The sequence below is a fragment of the Homo sapiens genome, chromosome 11 (assembly GCF_000001405.40).
Source record: "Homo sapiens chromosome 11, GRCh38.p14 Primary Assembly".
Lineage (NCBI taxonomy): Eukaryota > Metazoa > Chordata > Mammalia > Primates > Hominidae > Homo > Homo sapiens.
Genome location: NC_000011.10, coordinates 47,775,621 through 47,796,445, shown reverse-complemented (window position 1 = coordinate 47,796,445; position 20,825 = coordinate 47,775,621). Strand labels below are relative to the sequence as shown.

The window sequence follows — 20,825 nt, the reverse complement described above, 5'->3', positions numbered from 1 at the left end:
TTAAAGACATCATGATTTTTTTAATGTCATCAGTTATTTAATTAGGTTCTTCTTAAGACATTTAGAACAGCAATTTGTAAGGATAAATTCCATTTGTCAGGGCAAACACAGATCACAGGTAGCCCTGGAGCTAAGGAATAGCTTTGATTTTTGGTAAAATTTGTGAGTCCACAGCTTTCTGATTGATCCTACTGTGCTCTGTAATCTCGTATTTCTCTTTTTCTGTGTGGAAGATCTCACCTTCCTGGTGTCTGGGCTTCCGCAGCTGCTCCTTTTTTTTTTTTTTTTTTTTTAGATGAAGTCTCACTCCGTTGCCCAGGGTAGAGTGCAGTGGCACCGTGTCTGCTCACTGCAACCTCCACCTCCCAGGTTCAAATTATTCTCCTGCCCCAGCCTCCCGAGTAGCTGGGATTACAGGTGCCTACCACCACGCCCGGTTAATTTTTTTATATTTTTAGTAGAGACGGGGTTTCACCATGTTGGTCAGGCTGGTCTTGAACTCCTGACCTCAGGTGATCCACCCACCTCCATTTCCCAAAGTGCTGGAATTACAGCCGTGAGCCACTGCGCCTGGCCAATAATGTTTTTTATAGCGCATCCCTCACATACTGCCCTCACCCTGGATCTAGAATACACACTGCATTTAGTTGTGCGATGTCTTTAGGCTCCTTTAATCTGGAGCCTCACTTTGCCTTTGATGACATTGATATTTTTGAAGCATGTAGGTCAGTCATTTTTGTAGAATGTATCTTAATTTGGACTTACATTATCAATGAATTATTTATCAGAACAGCTAAAATGAACGGAATGTGAGCGGAATGTGAGATTGTTTTAAGATTATATTTTACAATATAATCACTGTGGAATGTCTAACATTTTTGTACCATTTTTACTTAGAATTTTCTTTGGTTTCTTGCTGATTTTCATTGGAAAAAAGTAGATGGGGTTTATTCATAGGCAGGTTCTTAACATTCCTAATAGTAAAACATATTTGCATATTCTTTATTTTCTTGAATCATATAGGAAGGGAAATAAAAATTATTAAAGATCTCTCAGTATCTGCTTTCACAATAACATTATATCAACCTGCTTAGTACCAGTTTAGCAAGATTAATGTTCAGGTTTTTCTAGAGCAAGGCTGTTCTTCTGAAAGCGCCTTACATATTGCAGGTATTCAAAAATATTTGTTGAAATGAAAAATAGCTTTATTTGAAAACTAAAAGAATTTTTAATGATATTTTAATTTCTGGAGTCCCATGCTGTTCCAGAACAATGGACTTTTCAGAATCTTATTGAATATGTGCAACTAAAGTATTATAAAAATGAGAATCTATGTTCTTTTTTTTTTGAGACAGTCTCACTCTATCGATCAGCCTGGAGTGCAGTGTCTCGATCTCGGCTCACAGCAACCTCCACTTCCAGGTTCAAGCAATTCTCCTGCCTCAGCCTCTCAAGTAGCTGGGATTACAGGCACCTACCACCATGCCCAGCTAGTTTTTGTTTTGTTTTGTTTTTGTTTGTTTGTTTGTTTTCGAGACAGAGTCCCGCTCTGTCGTCTAGGCTGGAGTTCAGTGGCATAATCTCGGCTCACTGCAACCTCCGCCTTCCCAGGTTCAAGCGATTCTCCTGCCTCAGACTCCTGAGTAGCTGGGACTGCAGGCATGCACCACCACGCTCGACAATTTTTTTTGCATTTTTAGTAGAGAGAGGGTTTCACCATGTGTTGGTCAGGCTGGTCTTGAACTCCTGACCTCAAAATGATCCACCCGCCTCAGCTTCCCAAAGTGCTGGGATTACAGGCATGAGTCACCACACCCAGCCCCTAATTTTTGTATTTTTAGTAGAGACGACGTTTCACCACGTTGGTCAGGCTGGTCTTGAATTTCTGGACTTGGGTGATCTGCCCACCTCTGCCTCCCAAAGTGCTGGGATTACAGGCGTGAGCCACTGTGCCCAACTGTTTTTGTTTTTGAGACGGAGTCTCGCTCTGTCGCCCAGGCTGGAGTGCAGTGGCGCAATCTCGGCTCACTGCAAACTCCACCTCCCGGGTTCACGCCATTCTCCTGCCTCAGCCTCCTGAGGCTGCCACCATGCCTGGCTATTTTTTTGTATTTTTAGTAGAGACGGGGTTTCACCCTGTTGGCCAGGATGGTCTCGATCTCCTGACCTCATGATCCGCCCGTCTTGGCCTCCCAGAGTGCTGGAATCACAGGCATGAGCCACCGCGCCCGCTATCTTGACCATTTTTAAGTGTACAGTTTGGGAGTGTTAAGTGCATTCACAATATTGTGTAACCAATCTCCAGAACACTTTTCATCTTGCAAAACTGAAGCTATATACCCATTAAACAACTACTTGTTCCTCCCAACCCCGATTCCCTGGCAACCACCATTTTACCACCCATCTCTATGAATTTGGCTGCTTGAATCATATAGTATGTGTCTTTTTGTGACTGTCTTATTTCACCTAGCATAATGTCTTCAAGGTTCATCCTTGTAGTGGCGTCAGAATTTTCTTCTTTAAAAATGTCTTTAAAAATTAGCCAGGTGTGGTGGTGGGCGCCTGTAATCCTGGCTACTTGTGGGGCTGAGGCAGGAGAATCGCTTGAACCCAGGAAGCAGAGATTGCAATGAGCTGAGACCGCACCATTGCATGCCACCTTTGGCAACAAGAACAAAACTCCGTCTCAAAAAAAAAAAAAAAAAAAAAAAAAAAAAAAAAAACAGATATCTTACAGATAATTAAATGATTTTCTGTTGTATTTATATGTCAAATTTTGTTCATCCATCAATGGACACTTGGATTGCTTTCACCTTTGGCTATTGTGGATAATGCTGCTATGAACATGGGTGTAGAAATATCTCTTTGAGACCCCTCTTTTCATTCTTTGGGGTATATACCCAAAAGTGGAATTACTGAATGACATGATAATTTCACTTTTAATTTTTTGAGGAACTGCCATACTGTTTTCCATAGCAGCTGCACCATTTGACATTCCCAGCAACAGTACAAAAGGGTTCCAGTTTTTCCACATCCTCACCAACATGTGATTTTGGGGAGGGGGGGCAGGGGTTACATCAAACCCAATTTTGTTTTAAATTTTAACATTTGATTAGGGATAGCATTCTCCCTGCGTATCTCTAGAGAAACAAATTTTGGAAGGCTGGGTGTGGTGGCTCACACCTGTAATCCCAGCACTTTGGGAGGCTGAGGTGGGCGGATCACGAGGCCACAAATTCGAGACCAACATGGTGAAACTCTCTACTAAACTCTCTACCAAAAATACAAAAATTAGCCGGGCGTGGTGGTCGTGTGCCTATAATCCCAGCTACTCAGGAGGCTGAGGCAGGAGAATCGCTTGAACCAGGGAGGCGGAGGTTGCAGTGAGCTGAGATCAAGCCATTGCACTCCAGCCTGGGCGACAGAGCAAGACTCTGTCTCCAAAAAAAAGAAAAAAAAATTTGGAAGTTCTAAAGTCTAATTTATTATCTCCTCATAGCTGGCACAGTGATGTTTGAGTATGGAATGCGGCTTGGCAGAGAAGTTCGAACTCTCCGGGGACTTGAGAAACAAGGCAACTGTTATCTGGCTGCTCTCAATTGTTTACGACTTATTCGTCCAGAATATGCGTGGATTGTGCAGCCAGTGTCTGGTGCAGTGGTATGAAAACATTTCATCCTGGAATTTGGGGGTTCATCCTGGAACAAGTAAATCTACTTGTTTTGGTCCTTTCAAAACTATTGTGTCATTTTGCTTCTTTTGATTTACAATTTCTACTGAGATATTTGTGAAAAAAATCTATGTTTACAATTCAATTGTTGTATATTACTACCCCTTTAGTTTTCAAGTTCAGAATTATTGTAGGAAGAAATATTGCAGAGTGGTTTTGGAGTTAGACCTGACCCAATTCAGACAAGTTACTTAATCTTTTGTCATTCTCTGGCATAAAATACGGATAATATCTACTTTATAGGATTGTTTGGGTATTAATGAGATAATTCAAGTCGATTGCTTAGAACAGTAACAGTGCCTGGCCCACAAACTGTGCTCAGTAAATGGTAGCTGCTTTTATTTCTATTGTGTTTGTTAATGCAGTCTACAGTTACTGTTTTAAAGGACACACACTTTGAGTTTTTCCTATCATACTGATGGGTCAGATACATGCAGCTGTTTCTGTTATATATAACTCTGGAGCCGAGAAAAATTAGTTGATTTACATGGAGATCAAATCCCTGTCCTTGGACTCAGTAATATGTTATGGTTAAGTTAACAACTTGGCAAAGAACTTCTTTCTTTGTCTCATAGTTACAGTACCTCTGTAAGAAGAGCTCTGCTGGTCGAAACAAAAATAATTTCCATTGAGAAAATTTAAGCATAAAAGCTATGAATCACCGTTAATGATATCAGAATAAAATACTGATTTTCACAGTTAAATTGCTTGTTTTGTTTTATCAGTATGATCGCCCTGGAGCATCCCCTAAGAGGAATCATGATGGAGAATGCACAGCTGCCCCCAGTGAGTCAGGAGTCTCACACTGGTTCTTTGCTAGACAGTAGTAATGTTGTTATTGTTAGTTGTATTATGATAGAAATATGTAGTTAAATAAGCTACATATAATAGTAATATATAAATGTTATAGTAGTAACAGTTGCCCTTGTAAAACACAAGTTTTAACTGCAGGCACCTATTATACACAGATTTTTGTTTTCAATAAGTATATTGGATTCTTTTTCTGGAGATTGTCACAATTTGAAAAAACTCCCAGTTGAACCACATAGCCTAGAAATATTGAAAAAGTTAAGGAAGCCGGGTGTGGTGGCTCACACCTGTAATCCCAGCACCTTGGGAGGCCGAGGCAGGTGGATCACCTGAGGTCAGGTGTTCAAGACCAGCCTGGTCAGTGTGGCGAAACCCCATCTCTACTAAAAATACAAAAATTAGCTGGGCAGTAGTGGCCCTCACCTGTAATCCCAGCTACTCAGGAGGCTGAGGCAGGAGAATTGCTTGAATCCAGGAAGCAGAGGTTGCCGTGAGCACACATCGTGCCACTGCACTCCAGCCTGGGCAACAGAGTAAGACTCCGCCTCAAAAAAAATAATGTTTAGTGGGACCCATACGAAGTGTCACTAGTGACGCTGGAAGTGCTCCCAAAGAGCAGAAAAAAGTCATAACATGACAAGAAAGAGTTGAACTGCTTGATGTCTACTGTAGATTGAGGCCGGCAGCTGAGGTTGCCTGCCATTTCAAGAAAAATGAATCCAGTGTAAGGAACATTGTAAAAAAAAAGAAGAGAAAATTTGTGAAGCTGTTGCTTCAGCTTCGCCAGTAGGTACAAAAACCTTGTGCTTTTTGCAAAATATATTTTTATCTCATATTGAAAATCCAGCTTTTATGTGGGTACAGTATTGCTATAAAAAAAGGCATATCTATAGACTCTAACATGATTTGCAAAACAAAGGTTATTATACAACAACTTAAAGCAAAAGGAAGGTAAAAGATCTAAAGCTGGAGAATTTAATGCCAGCAAAGGATGGTTTGACAATTTAAGAAAGAGATATGGCTTTTAAAATGTCAAGATACAGGAGAAGCAGCTTCTGCTGACCAAGGAGCAGCAGAAGAGTTCCCAGACACCATTAAGGAAAATCACTGAGGGGAAAGGACACTTGCCTAAACCTGTTTGTTTTTGTTTTTGAAACAGGGTCTCACTGTGTTGCCTAGGCTGCAATGCAGTGGCACAATCATGGCTCACTGCAGCCTCAAACTCCTGGACTCAAGCAATCCTCCTACCTCGGACTCCCACAGTGCTGGGACTACAGGGATGAGCCACTGTGCCTGCCTTCCCTATGATTTTCTTAATAACATTTTCTTTTAAGAGTACAGTATAGGCCAGGTGCGGTGGCTCATGCCTGTAATCCCTGTACTTTGGGAGGCTGAGGCGGGTGGATCACCTCAGGTCAGGAGTTCAAGACCAGCCTGGCCAACATGATGAAACCCCGTCTCTAGTAAAACTACAAAAAATCAGCTGGGTGTGGTGGCGGGTGGCTGTAATCCCAGCTACTCAGGTGGCTGAGGCAGGAGAATTGCTTGAACTCGGGAGGCTGAGGTTGCAGTGGGCTGAGATCGCGCCACTGCACTCCAGCCTGGGCAACAAGAGCAAGACTCCGTCTCAAAACAACCACAACCAAGAGTACAGTATATAGGCCAGGCACAGTGACTCACGCCTGTAATCCCAGCACATTGGGAGGCCAAGGCAGACAGATCACCTGAGGTTGGGAGTTTTGAGACCAGCCTGACCAACATGGAGAAACCCTGTCTCTACTAAAAATAAAAAATTAGCTGGGCGTGGTGGCGCATTCCTGTAATCCTAGCTACTTGGGAGGCTGAGGCAGAAACATCACTTGTACCCAGGAGGGAGAGGTTGCAGTGAGCCGAGATCGCGCCATTGCACTCCAGTCTGGGCAATAAGGGCGAAACTCTGTCTCAAAAAAAAAAAAAAAAAAGTACAGTATATAAAATACAAAATATGTGTGAATTGACTGTTTAGGTTGTCAGTAAGGCTTCTGGTCAGTAGTAGGCTATTAGTAGCTAAGTTTTTGGGTAATGAAATGTTATATGCAGAGTTTCAACTGCTCAGGAGCCAGCATCCCTAAACCCTGCATTGTTCAAGGGTCAACTATACATGCAATTTAGACAGTAGTTATATTGTAACATATACAGTTACATTGTTATATACTATACATAGTAGTAACGTTATATACTATATATTATATATAATAATTACATTGCTGTAAAAATATTGTAAAGTTCCTTCTTTTTAGTTTATTTTCAGCATTCTAATCTGCTAAAGGTTGTCTGGTAGCACTTCGAAAATGTTGTACAACAGTAAGAGAAATGAAAATGCTTAAATAAGAATGTGGTTTTTTTCTTGAATGTTGTATTTAAATCAGCTTAGTTCCAAGCTTTTTTTTTATCAAGTTCTTTTGCTATTTCCACAGAGGCATGATATCCTTCCATAAAGAGCCGAGGCTCTAGATTTGGACACACCTGGTTTTATTTCTGCCTCTCACAGTTTGGTCATATTTCTTTCTTATTGATAGAGATGACAGACAGTATTTCACAATTATAATAGTTAAATGAGGCCAGGTGCAGTGGCTCATGCCTTGTAATCCCAGCATTTTGGGAGGCCAAGGCAGGAGGGTCATTTGAGCTCAGGAGTTCAAGACCAGCCTGGGCAACATAGCAAGACCCTGTAGAAAAAAAATTTTTTAGGCTGGGCACAGTGGCTGATGCCTGTAATCCCAGCACGTTGGGAGGCTGAGGTGGCTGGATCACCTGAGGTCAGGAGTTTAAGAACAGCCTGGCCAACATGGTAAAACCCCGTGTCTACTAAAAATACAAAAATTAGCTGGGCATGGTGGTGCACGCCTGTAATCCCAGCTACTCGGAAGGCTGAGGCAGGAGAATCACATGAACCCAAGAGGCGGAGGTTGCAGTGAGCCGAGATCATGCCACTGCACTCCAGCCTGGGTGACAGATTGAGATTTGTTTCCTTAAAAAAAAAAAAAAAAGTTTAAAGAGTTAAATGAAATTACATGTAGTACCTTGTAAGCACCTCCTCAACTGCAGTCGGTTAAAATACTTTGATTTGACATGGGATATTGCATAATTTGTTTAAGTTAGCATTTATTTAGTGCCCTATTTTCTCCTTCCTTCATGCATTTGGAAATTAGATTGAATGTTACTTAATGTTCAGTGGAAATTGACAGGTTGCGTTAATCTGATGGATACTTCTTTGTATTTTGGGAGTTCAAAATATTTTTCTTTGATGTATAGCAAATCGACAAATTGAAATCCTGGAACTGGAAGATCTGGAGAAAGAGTGTTCCTTGGCTCGCATCCGCCTCACTTTGGCTCAGCATGATCCATCAGCGGTTGCAGTTGCTGGTAGGAATTCAAGAGTTTAAAGCCTCTGACTTGTCAGCACCACGAGCACATTTTAGGTCCAGGCAGTGTATGTAGCATGGTAGATGGGTATAAAGCCTGGGTTATTACTCAGAGATACTCATCAACAAAACAAAATCTTTGGTTTCATTTGTGTATACCTTGGCTACACGAAATAATCTTTTTCCATTTTCACAGGAAGTTCATCAGCAGAGGAAATGGTCACTCTCTTGGTTCAGGCGGGCCTCTTTGACACTGCCATATCACTCTGTCAGACTTTTAAGCTTCCCTTAACGCCAGTCTTTGAAGGGCTTGCCTTCAAGTATGTATAAAATTATTTTTTTATAGTCTTTTCTAATGCAAATATATTATCCTCTTGCTCAGTGTGAAACAGTCGTCATAAGCCAAGTAGCCCATATATCATTTATGATTTGAAGAAGTGTTTTGTTTAATCCATCCAAGCATTCTTAAAAAGAATTTCAGGCTGAGCGCAGTGGCTCACGCCTGTAATCCCAGCACTTTGGGAGGCCGAGGCGGGCGGATCACGAGGCCAGGAGATCAAGACCATCCTGGCTAACAAGGTGAAACCCCGTCTCTACTAAAAATAATACAAAAAAAATTAGTCGGGCGTGGTGGCGGGCGCCTGTAGTCCCAGCTACTCGGGAGGCTGAGGCAGGAGAATGGCGTGAACCTGGGAGGCAGAGCTTGCAATGAGCCGAGATCGCGCCACTGCACTCCAGCCTGGGCGACAGAGCGAGACTCTGTCTCAAAAAAAAGAAGAAGAATTTCTTGGCCAGGCACAGTGGCTCACATCTGTAATCCTACTAATACTTTGGGAGGCTGTGGCGGGTGGATCGCTTGGGACCAGCCTGGCCAACATGGTGAAACCCTGTCTCTACTAAAAATACAAAAATGAGGGTGTGGCACACAACAGTAATTTCAGCCTCTCAGGAGGCTTAGGCACAAGAATCTCTTGAACTTGGGAGGCAGAGGTTGCAGTGAGCTGAGATCGCGCCTCTGCACTCGAGCCTGGGCAACAAAGCAAGACTCTGTTTCAAAAAAAAAAAAAAAAAAAGTTTGTGAATTAGAAATAATTTTGAACTTTCAGAATTTTTCAGCCAGGTGCAGTGGCTTACGCCTGTAATGCCATCACGTTGGGAGGCCAAGGTGGGCAGATCACTTGAGGTCAGGAGTTCAAGACCTGCCCGGCCAACATGACGAAACCCCATCTCTACTAAAAATACAAAAGTTAGCCAGGAGAGGTGGCGTGTGCCTGTAATCCCAGCTACTTGGGTGGCTAAGGCAGGAGAATCGCTTGAGCCTGGGAGACGGAGGTTACAATGAGTTGAGATTGCGCCACTGCACTCCAGCCTGGGCAACAGAGCGAGACTCCATCTTAATTTAAAAAAAAAAAGAGGCCAGGTGCGGTGGCTCATACCTGTTATCCCAGGACTTTGGGAGACCTAGGCGGGCGGATCATGAGGTCAGGAGATCAAGACCATCCTGGCTAACACAGTGAAACCCCGTCTCTACTAAATATACAAAAAATTAGCCAGGCATGGTGGCATGGGCCTGTAGTCCCAGCTACTCAGGAGGCTGAGACAGGAGAATCACTTGAACCTGGGAGGCAGAGGTTGCAGTGAGCTGAGATTGCACCACTGCACTGCAGCCTGGGTGACAGAGCAAGACTCCATCTCAAAAAAAAAGAAAAGAAAAAAGAATTTTTCATCATTAATTTTATCTTGGAAGTAAATTGTCTCTTAATGCTTACTCATGTTCTTGTAGGTATCCAGTTGTGTAACTTGAGGAAGAGATGAGCCAATATTCCAGTAGTGAATTCAGCAAAAGACTAGAGATGAAGTTGTCATCTATCTCTCTAGTTTTAGTATCAAATTAAAGTGGTACGTTTCAGCGTTCAGTTTTCAAGTGTGGAACCATTTTCATTCCAGATGCATCAAATTGCAATTTGGAGGAGAGGCAGCACAAGCAGAAGCCTGGGCCTGGCTAGCAGCCAATCAGCTCTCATCTGTCATCACTACTAAGGAGTCTAGGTACAACCCTGGTGTTCAACCCTGGGTAGTTTTGCCTTTCTAAAAGCTGTAACTGTCTTTCTCTGACTAAATTGTCCTACATAGATCATTTCACTTTTTTCTTTCTTTTTGGCTAAGTTTTTATAGGGGCTGGAAAGTTTATAATTAAGGTGACATCATGTCATTTATTGTCCAAACTAGGATGTCTTTGCCTATGAAATGTCTCCTTCTCCATATCCCCCTCCTCAAAGACTTACTGTTTCATATCAGGAAAGGGTACTCTTACAGGCAAAAATCTGTATTTACTTGTTTCGGAGTGTTATCCTCCTTTTTTCCCCCATTTCTTCCACTGAGCAGTCACTGCATGGTTTCATCACAGTGTCCTCTTATATCTTGTCTCCAGCTGCTGTTCAGCAGTCTGTCACCCATCAGCCCCCATCATCCACTATACCTTCTTCAGATCTCCTCTGGTTCGTATACTTCCCCAGTGCACCCACTTTGTGTCCACGTAAATATACTTCAGCTTCTTCAGAAACCTTCTCTAACATTCCTAACCCTCAGTAAACTTCCCTTTCTGAACTGCATTTGCACTTGGTATTATACAGCTTAGCACTTTAGAGTGATAGCACTTTAGAATTTGGAAGTTCTCTGACATTAGTTTTCAACCCCTAAATTAGCACATCAGAATAACTTATTAAAATACAGATTATGAGAAATCACCCTAGTCTTCTAAGTTAGAACTTCTGCATGATTCTAATGCTTGATCAGGTTTGAGAACCAGTGTTCTGAACCAGTTTCTTGTTTTAGAAATGCAGAAACAAAGGAGTTAAATGAATTATGCATTAATAGCCAAACAAATAACGTTCATTTACTAAATATGTTTGTTTACTAAATACTAAATACGTTAGTGGGAGAGGAATATACGAACCCAAGACATCTAGTTTCTAGTGCTATCCCCATAAGTCACATTAGCCCAAATAATATTTGTTCCCATTTAGCTATATTATTGATTCAGTTGTTAATTTCTAAAGTTTTCCTTGTAAGGCTGGGCATGGTGACTCCTGCCTGTAATCCCAACACTTAGGGAGGACAAGGTCAGAGGATCACTTTAGCTCTGGAGTTTAATACCAGCGTGGACAACATAGCAAGTCCTTGTCTCTACAAAACATAAACAAAATTAGCTGGGCATAGTGGTGCATGCCTGTATTCCCAGCTATTTAGGAAGCTGAAATGGGAGAATCTGGGGCTGAGGCTGCAGTGAGCTGAGATCACACCACTCCACTCTAGCCTGGGTGACAGAGCAAGACCCTGTCTGAAAAAAAAGTTTTCCTTGTAAATACATGCTTTGAATGGTACTCTAAATAGCTATTAAGAATCTGAAACTCATTAGTCATTTTTGTTTTTTTCAAGTGCTACAGATGAAGCATGGCGACTATTATCCACTTACCTGGAGAGGTACAAAGTCCAGAATAACTTGTATCACCACTGTGTAATCAACAAGCTCTTGTCTCATGGAGTGCCTCTGCCTAATTGGCTTATAAACAGTTACAAGGTAAACGGATTATAACTTGTACAGAGTAAGAACCCACTCTTTATCATTCTGGATAACTTCATGAGATGATTAAAAATATGGACTGATTGCAGTGGCTCATACCTGTCATGCCCGCACATTGGTAGGCCAACAGGGGAGGATGGCTTGAGCCCAGGAGTTTGAGACCAGCTTGGGCAACACAGGGAGACCCCATCTCTATTTAAATTTAAAAATATATAAAGAAAAAGAAAAAGATGGGGTGATAACTTATGGGAACATATTGACTTACGTACTTTGGGAAGCTTTTCATCATAGCTAAAACCATAAGAACAATTCAAATTCATTTCCACAGTACTACTGTGTATTTAGATTTGAAGTTTCATAGGTTAGTAATTAGGTTAATGACTCCTATTATATTCACTGAACAATGAGTTTATATTTAGAACAATGAGCATATGCATGACACAGGATTTACTCTTCATACCTCAAAAAAGTCACAGGAGTCGGTGGAGTACTTTTCAAATAATATAACACTATGGCTGGTCTGAGTGCCGTGTTGTTTACAACTAATTGAGCACAACCAGTTTCCGATTGGTTCCTTCTCCACTCCCACTGTTTCACCTATTAAAAATCAAAAACGGGTTCTTAGACTGTCTGCATCAGAATTATTCAGATGGCAGTCTTCTTCAAAATACAGATTCCTCATCCTAGACTTACAGAATCAGATTATCTCAGGCTAGGAGCCAGAAATCTACATTTTAAGAAGCTCCTAATTTGATTTTGATGCATGCTAAAGTTTGAGAACTTCTGCATCTGAACCACCGTTAGTAGGATAAGGAAAGAGAAAATCTAAAGCTTAAAATCAGGAAAGTTTTTTTTGGTTTTTTTTGTTTTGTTTTGTTTTGTTTTTTTTGTTTTTGTTTTTGTTTTTTTTTTAAGGTAGAAAGGAGGCCGGGCACGGTGACTCACGCCTGTAAACCCAGCGCTTTGGGAGGCCAAGGCAGGCAGATCACCTGAGGTCAGGAATTCGAGACCAGCCTGGCCAACATGGTGAAACCCCATCTCCACTAAAAATACAAAAATTATCTGGATGTGATGGTGCGTGCCTGTAATCTCAGCTACTCTGGAGGCAGAGGTTACAGTGATCTGAGGTTGCACCACTGCCCCCAAGCCTGGGCGACAGAGCAAGACTCTGTCTCAAAAAAAATAAATAAATAGGAAAGTAGGGAAGCCAGCTAAGATGGTAAAGGTAAGATTGTGATCAAATGGGAATATAGAAAGCATGCTTAATTAATAGAGCTCTTCCAAATAGAGACTTCAGATTTAAAGCTGGTGATTCTTTGAACTTCTTTTGCATTTGTCATTCATATATTTCTTATTATGTGAATATATTGTCACTTTAGTGTTCAGGAAAAGTTTGTTGACTTTACAACTGTGGAAACTGAAGTGGAGAGAAGTTAAAATATGTCTTAGGTCATAAAACAGGGGAAGAAGGCTATTTAACAGATAAGGGCCTCCCAAACTGCCTAGAGGTAACGGCTCTTAGGGATTTAACTTTTTTTTTTTCCTAACTCCCCAGATTTGTTATCAGCTCTTATCCTAAGATACAGATGAGTAAACCAAGCCACTGGTTTAATTATATTGAGAAATACAAATGTTAGGGAATCAGCCACTCAACATTCTTTGGTCAGTACTCAAGTAGGAGGGAAATAGGTACATATTCTTAATCACTGACTTTTCACAGAAGGTTGATGCTGCTGAATTGCTTCGTTTATACTTAAACTATGACCTTTTAGAAGAAGCTGTGGATTTGGTGTCAGAATATGTGGATGCTGTATTGGGAAAAGGACATCAATACTTCGGAATTGAGGTAGGCATATACAAATGGTCCCCAATTTACAATGGTTTGACTTACGATTTTTCAACTTTACAGTGGTTTGAAAGTGATGAACATTTATGAGAAACCATACTTTAAAATACTGATGGCCGGGCACAGTGACTCATGCCTATAATCCCAGCACTTTGGGAGGCCGAGGCAGACAGATCACCTGAGGTCAGGAGTTCGAAACCAGTTTGGCCAACATGGCAAAGCCCCGTCTCTACTAAAAATACAGAAATTAGCCAGATGCAGTGGCACGTACCTGTAATCCCAGCTACTCAGGAGGCTGAGGCAGGAGAATCGCTTGAACCTGGGAGGCAGAGGTTGCAGTGAGCCGAGATCATGCCACTGCACTCCAGCCTGGGCAACAGAGCGAGACTCCATCTCAAAAATAAATAAATAAATAAATAATAAATAAATAAAATACTCATACAACCGTTCAGTTTTTCAGTTGCAGTACAGTATTCAATAAATTACACAAGATATTCAACAGTGTATTATAAAGTAGGCTTTCTGTTAGATGATTTTGCCCAACTTTATAGGTTAACGTTAAGTGTCCTGAGCATGGTTAAGTAGGCTAGGCTAAGCCGTGATGTTCATTAGGTTAGATGTATTATATGTATTTTCAACCTATGATATTTTCAACTGATAGTGGGTTTATTGGAAAACAAACCCACCATAAGTTGAGGAACATCGGTATAGGCGCATATATATATATATATATATATATATATATATATATATATATATATATATATATTTTTTTTTTTTTTTAACTGAGTTTTGCTCTGTTGCCCAAGCTGGAGTGCAGTGATGCAGCCTCCACTTACTCCCTCACTGCAGCCTCCGCCTCCCGGGTTCAAGTGATTCTCCTGCCTCAGCCTCCTGAGTAGCTGGGATTACAGGCACCTGCCACCACATCCAGCTAATTTTTTAATATTTTTGGTAGAGATGGGGCTTCACCATGTTGGCCAGGCTGGTCTCGGAACTCCTAACCTCAAGTGATCCACCCACCTCGGCCTCCCAAAGTGCTGGGATTACCCATGTGAGCCACCATGCCCGGCCTAGGCATTTCTTTTTATTATCATGCTATGTAAGGTGAGAATCTGAGAGTAAATTGAACTATATGTTAGTGTATTTAACCTTTACTATCTGTAGTTATACAACTAAATATTGACACTCTAGGAATCTCTAGTCTCCTGTTTATAAAATAGGAATTTCATCTTTCTCTATCAAAATAATATGGCATTAGTTAGGATTCAGTGGAGAGAGATAAACAAAATGGTATTGTGTGTGTGCCGGGACTGTGTTAAGTCTCTACAAGCATTTTTTTATTTAATCCTTATAGCAGCCTTATGAAGGAATGTTTTAATTTTCTATTTTTTAACCCATGAGGGAACAGGCTCAGAGGTTATCACAGGCTCATACAGATGGCAAATATAATAGAAGAGCCAGGTCTAAATAGGTGTAGTTAACTACAGCTTCAACCCTCATGAAATCAGCCAGGTGCAATAGCTCACACCTGTAATCCTAGCACTTTCGGAGGTCAAGGTGTGAGGATCGTTTAAACCCAGAGGTTAAGACCAGCCTTGGCAACATAGTGAGAACCTTTATCTACAAAAAATAGAAAAAAATTAGCTGGTCATGGTGGTGCGTGCCTATAGTCCCAGCTATGTGGGAAGCTGAGGTGGGAGGATCACATGAGCCCTGGAGGTTGAGGGTACAGTGAGCTATGATCATGCCACTACACTCCAGCCTGAGTGACAGAGTGAGACCCTGTCTGAAAAAAAAAAGAAAGTTGACATGAAATTATTTTTTATTTTTATTTTTTTATTTTTTCCAAGACGGAGTCTCGCTCTGTCGCCCAGGCTTGAGTGCAGTGGCATGATCTCGGCTCACTGTAACCTCCGCCTCCCGGGTTCAAGCAATTCTTCAGCCTCAGCCTCCCGAGCAGCTGGGACTACATCTGTGCCACCACACCTGGCTAATTTTTGTATTTTTAGTAGAGACGGGGTTTCACCATATTGGCCAGGCTGGTCTCGAACTCCTGACCTTGTGATCCGCCCACCTCGGCCTCCCAAAACGTTGGAATTACAGGCCCAGCCGACATGAATTTTTAAATATATTTAACCGAAAAAAATGACAAGTTTCCCAGTTGGAGAAAAGAGGGTTCCCATTGTGTGCATGCACATGTATACACACAGTTTCTTGTGGTTGGGGGAAAAAATGCATTTTATTTTGCCGGGCACAGTGGCTCACTTTCGGAGGCCAAGGCAGGTGGATCACTTGAGGCCAGGAGTTTGAGACCAGCCTGTCCAACATGGTGAAACCCCATCTCTACTAAAAATAAACATAAAAAAATTAGCTAGGCATGGTGGTGCACATCTGTAGTCCAGCTACTCAAGAGGCTGAGGCACAAGAATTGCTTGAGCCCAGGAGGCGGAGGTTGCAGTGAGCTGAGATTGTGCCACTGCACTCAGCCTGGGCGACAGAACAAGACCATCTCAAAAAAAAAAAAAAAAAGGGTATTTTATTCTACAGAGTCCTATGAAAGCAACTACCCAGAAGAAATGGTACACTTTGCAGACTGTTTTCAAATAAACATTTTCCTTTTAGTTTCCACTGTCCGCAACAGCCCCAATGGTGTGGCTTCCATACTCCTCTATTGATCAGCTTCTCCAAGCTCTGGGAGAGAACAGTGCCAACAGTCACAACATCGCAGTAAGTCAGCCCTTTCATGAGACGTCTTGTGTAAGCCCCTGCACTAGCAGTTACACCTTACAGCTTGATCTTCAGTTCTCCGGGATTAGAAAGGGAAGACAAAAGCCTATTTTTGGCCCTTAACAAACTGCCCAGTCCCTTTATAGATAAGGCAGAGGATCTAAGTAACAGGATCAAGAAAACATAATGAGGAACTGTGTAAGTGTTAATTATACAGAGACAAATGGCAAGCAGTCGGTCCATCCTTTAAAGCTTTTAATTTGGTAGGGCAGACCCTACAAGGTAAACAGGTACTTGAAATACAGCAATGATAGGCCGGGCGCAGTGGCTCACGCCTATAATCCCAGCACTTTGGAAGGCTGAGACGGGCAGATTACCTGAGAGGTCAGGAGTTCGAGATCAGCTTTGCCAACATGGTGAAATTCCATCTCTACTAAATATACCAAAACTAGCCAGGCATGGTGGCGGGCACCTGTAATCCCAGCTACTCGGGAGGCTGAGGCAGGAGAATCGCTTGAACCCAGGAGGCGGAGGTTCCAGTGAGCCAAGATTGCACCACCGCACTCCATCCTAGACAGCAGAGTGAGACTCCATTCCCCCACCCTGAAAAAGAAAGAAATACAGTGTGATAAATTATCACTGTCCTGAGGGAAGTTGGCATATATAACAACATTTCTCAGGAGTCATATATTCACCCTGCTTGCCTTAACATAAAAAACAATAGTGTTTCCTTGAGTCATTATAGTGATGGCTTATTTTGTTTACCAGTGAGATAGAGTGCCTCCTGAGCCTATCTAAAATATTAGTTCTATATTTCACTTGGCAGCTAATAACTAGTTATATCAGATGCAGCATTTCTGGTTCTGAGAAAAGAGTTAGTGATCCTTTTATTAGAAATACTGGTACGATTTCCATACTTAGAAAATTCATTCAGAAAATGAGACTGAAATGTTGTATATAACAGAGAGGCCTAGTTTTATCAGTAGAGTCACAGAGGAGACTCCTATAACAAATGGTGATTTTATGAAGCAGAGTGGCTAACATCTTTATAAGGTGGAATCTACTTGGTGAAGTCAAAGTTATTAATAACTTCAATATTTTTCCATTGTTGAGCTGTTATGTAATGTTTTCCTTCTTTTCTCTTATAGCTGTCCCAGAAAATACTTGACAAATTGGAGGACTACCAGCAAAAAGTTGATAAGGCAACACGGGATTTATTATATCGTCGGACCTTGTGATTTGGATTGTCACCTAGCCTTTGTAACCGCTTGGTGCCTCTTAGGACTTAAGACTACCCTACAGGAACCCTGTACTCAAGGCCGATTTTTGTAACTGTAAATGATGTGTACAACATTCAAGTCTGCATTCTGCACAAGATAGGAGGGCGGAAGAGTCAGAGGACCCTGTGCTTGCTGGTGGTGCTAACACAATTTCTGGTGTTCAACCTTGGTCTCAAATAGCTGCTTTTGTATATGATTCACGAGCTTTTTTAGAGTTTATATTTTTTTAAACTACCGAAGACATTCATTATCTGCAAATTAAGACTCACCTTCACTTTCCAAAATAGCTGAGGGTTGTTGGCTTGTTGTAGCTGACCACCAAAAGCAGTCACTGCAAATCTTTTAATTCTTCCCTATCACCTTTTGTATTTTAATGCAATTATTTTGGTCCAGAACTGACCTGTATTTTCTGTATTGTACACAAAAGCTAATAATTTTGTGTACTTTTTATTTATTTTGGAGGTTTTATATGATCTTCAATTGAGTATTAAATAATTTGCCTAGATTAAGCCTAAAATGATGACCAGCTAATTAAAGAAGATATTTTGAATCTGGTTCTGAGCTAAAGTTGAGTAAATTCTTAGCTAAGAAAAAATTGGAAATCCATCATCTATATTAGCAACAGATTCTCAGAGTAAATTGTTAACTTCTATGATTTATGATAATCAAGCTGGACTTGATCATACAAGTTAGTCTCATAATGTATTGGACCAAAATGTAAACTTCATTGGTCAGATTTAGAAGCATTCATGCTCACAAGTTTTGGGAAAGTGAAAAATAATAAAATCATCTTGGATTTTATTCTGTATATTAAAATTTATCTTTTAAGGAAACAATCTGTATACTACTTGCTTGTATAGCCTTTTGACCCTTCTTGAGTTTTTCAGAAGCCTTTAATTTTTATACTTTCAATACCATATTTACATTATATACTTTAATTAACAATGTGAGTTTCTCTGTGGTACTGTTGTTGATAGATACTGAGGTGTGTGTTTCTTTTTTTTTTTTTTTTTTTTTTTTCATTTTAGCTCTACTATGATTAATACGAGGCATTTGGTGCAATTAGGGACTGGGAGAGCCCCTGTCCTCCCAGCTCTCTAAACCTGTGGCTTTCAACGACAGTAAGAAAGACATTTTGACCTACATACACATATATAACCAAAAGAAAAGTTTCACAAAATTTGTATCCTCACCTACAGTGTATCCTGATGTTTTCATGAGTGACTAATGGATCATAACCCATAGTATGAAAACATCAAGGGCCAGGCGTGGTGGCTAACTCCTATAATCTCAGCACTTTGGGAAGCTGAGGCAGGCGGATCACTTGAGATCAGGAGTTCAAGACCAACGTGGCAAAACCACATCTTTCAAAAAAAAAAAAAAATTAGCTGGTCGCAGTGGTGCGTACCTGTAGTCCCAGCTACTAGAGGGGCTGAGGCGGAAAGATGGCTTGAATCTGGGAGGTAGAGGTTGCAGTGAGCCTTGAGCATGCCACTGCACTCCAGCCTGGGCGACAATGAGACCAAACCCTATTGTAGCCATCTCTGGAGGGCAAGAAGTAGTGAGAGACTAGCCCTATTCCAGAAACCCCCACTCCCCCCATTTGTGTTGCTGATCAATGCAGTGGTTTCCATGGTGGCAGTTCACAAGATGCTGACCAACTTTTCCTGTGCTTGTTTAGGTTCAAGGCCTAGAACCCATGCTCAACCCAGCCCAGCTCTTCTGTCCATTGTATTCTACGCTCCTCATTTTGAGTCCCGACCAGAACAGAGCATGCCCCCATACTTCCACGTCACTTTTCTCACAGCTTTGAGTCTGCTTTTTTTTTTTTTTCAGACGGAGTTTCACTCTTGTTACCCATTCTGGAGTGCAGTGGCGTGATCTCCACTCACTGCACCTTCCGCCTCCCGGGTTCAAGTGATTCTCTGCCTCAGCCTCCCGAGGAGCTGGGATTACAAGCATGCGCCACCACGCCCGGCTAATTTTGTATTTTTAGTAGAGACAAGGTTTTTCCATGTTGGGCAGACTGGTCTTGAACTCCCAACCTCACGTGATCTGCCCACCTCAGTCTCCCAAAGTGCTGGGATTATAGGGGAATTGCAACAGAGAAAGTAATTCATGGCCGGGCGCAGTGGCTCACGCCTGTAATCCCAGCACTTTGGGAGGCCGAGGCGGGCAGATCACGAGGTCAGGAGTTTGAGACTAGCTTGACCAACATGGTGAAATCCCATCTTTACTAAAAAAAAAAAAAATGCAAAAATTAGCCAGGTGTGATGGCGTGCACCTGTAATCCCAGCTACTCAGGAGGCTGAGGCAGAAGAATCGCTTGAACATGGGAGGCAGAGGTTGCAGTGAGCCGAGATCGCACCATTGCACTCCAGCATGGAACAACAGTGAAATTCTGTCTCAAAAAAAAAAAAGAGAAAGTAATTCACGCAGAGCCAGCTGTGCGGGAGACTGGAGTTTTATTATTACTCAAATCAGTTTCCCTGAAAACTCAGGGATCAGAGTTTTTAAGGATAATTTGGTGGGTAGGGGGCCAGTGAATCAGGAGTGCTGATTGGTTGGCTTGGGGATGAACTCATAGGGAGTCGAAGCTGTTGTCTAATGCTGAGTCAATTCCTGGGTGGGGGCACAGAACTGGTTGGCAGGTCCAGGTGGCGCCGTCTGGTTGTGAGAAATGAAAAACCTGAAAAGTCATCTCAAAAGGCCCATCTTAGGTTGACAATAGTGATGTTACCTTCAAGAATAATTAGGAAAGTTGCAAATCTTATGACCTCCAGAATAATGGCTGGTAATATTTAGAAATCTAGCCCCTCTCATCTTGACTTCATGGCTGGTGGCCTTTCATTTGTTTTACAAGAACAGTTTAGCTTTTTGGGAAGGACTGTTACATAAACTATACACTAAATTCCTTCCCAAAGGTAGTTTGGCCTATGCCTAGGAATGAACAAGGACAGTTTAGAGGTTAGAAGCACGATAGGGTCAGTTAGTTCTGACACCTTTCACTGTCATAATTTTCTGAGTTAATGATTTTTACAAAGACAGTTTCATAACCAGTCTAGCCTGAAAATGCATTTTATTTCATTTTTTCTCTTTTTTCCCTAGTTTCAATATGTAACCTTGAAGCTTACTGCAGAAATCTTTTTTTCTTCTCCTTAGTCTTAAAATATTAGCCTTGAAATGTACTTTCTTTGAAATATCATGTTCCTCCCTTTCTCACCATACACTCCATTATACCATGCACATTTATCTAACTTTGCATGCTTGTATCTAATTATGTGCTTACCCAGGGGCTAATCTCGAGACAGACGGAGTATGGAGACCCAGCTGCAAAACTCCAGAGATTACCTCGAGGTAGTTAGTCCACAATACCACCCGGCCATTGTTGAGATGACACCAGTGCCTGCACTCCAGGTGACAGACCCAAGATAGCCACCAA

General features: G+C 41.6%; 1 protein-coding gene across 2 annotated transcripts in view; it reads left to right on the top strand.

The window, feature by feature from the left end:
- The window catches only part of NUP160 (nucleoporin 160), a 70,427-nt gene extending 52,099 nt beyond the window's left edge, over positions 1-18,328 (top strand). For both annotated transcript variants that reach the window (NR_134636.3, NM_015231.3), the window contains exons 28-36: positions 3,500-3,660; positions 4,456-4,516; positions 7,835-7,945; positions 8,141-8,264; positions 9,892-9,993; positions 11,383-11,524; positions 13,248-13,373; positions 15,999-16,103; positions 17,252-18,328. Coding sequence is in view for 1 of the 2 variants with exons in the window: in NM_015231.3 (NP_056046.2) it covers positions 3,500-3,660; positions 4,456-4,516; positions 7,835-7,945; positions 8,141-8,264; positions 9,892-9,993; positions 11,383-11,524; positions 13,248-13,373; positions 15,999-16,103; positions 17,252-17,341 (1,022 nt within the window). In the remaining variant the exon portion in view is untranslated. The remainder of the gene's footprint in view (positions 1-3,499; positions 3,661-4,455; positions 4,517-7,834; positions 7,946-8,140; positions 8,265-9,891; positions 9,994-11,382; positions 11,525-13,247; positions 13,374-15,998; positions 16,104-17,251) is intronic.
- Positions 18,329-20,825: the final 2,497 nt, after the last annotated feature.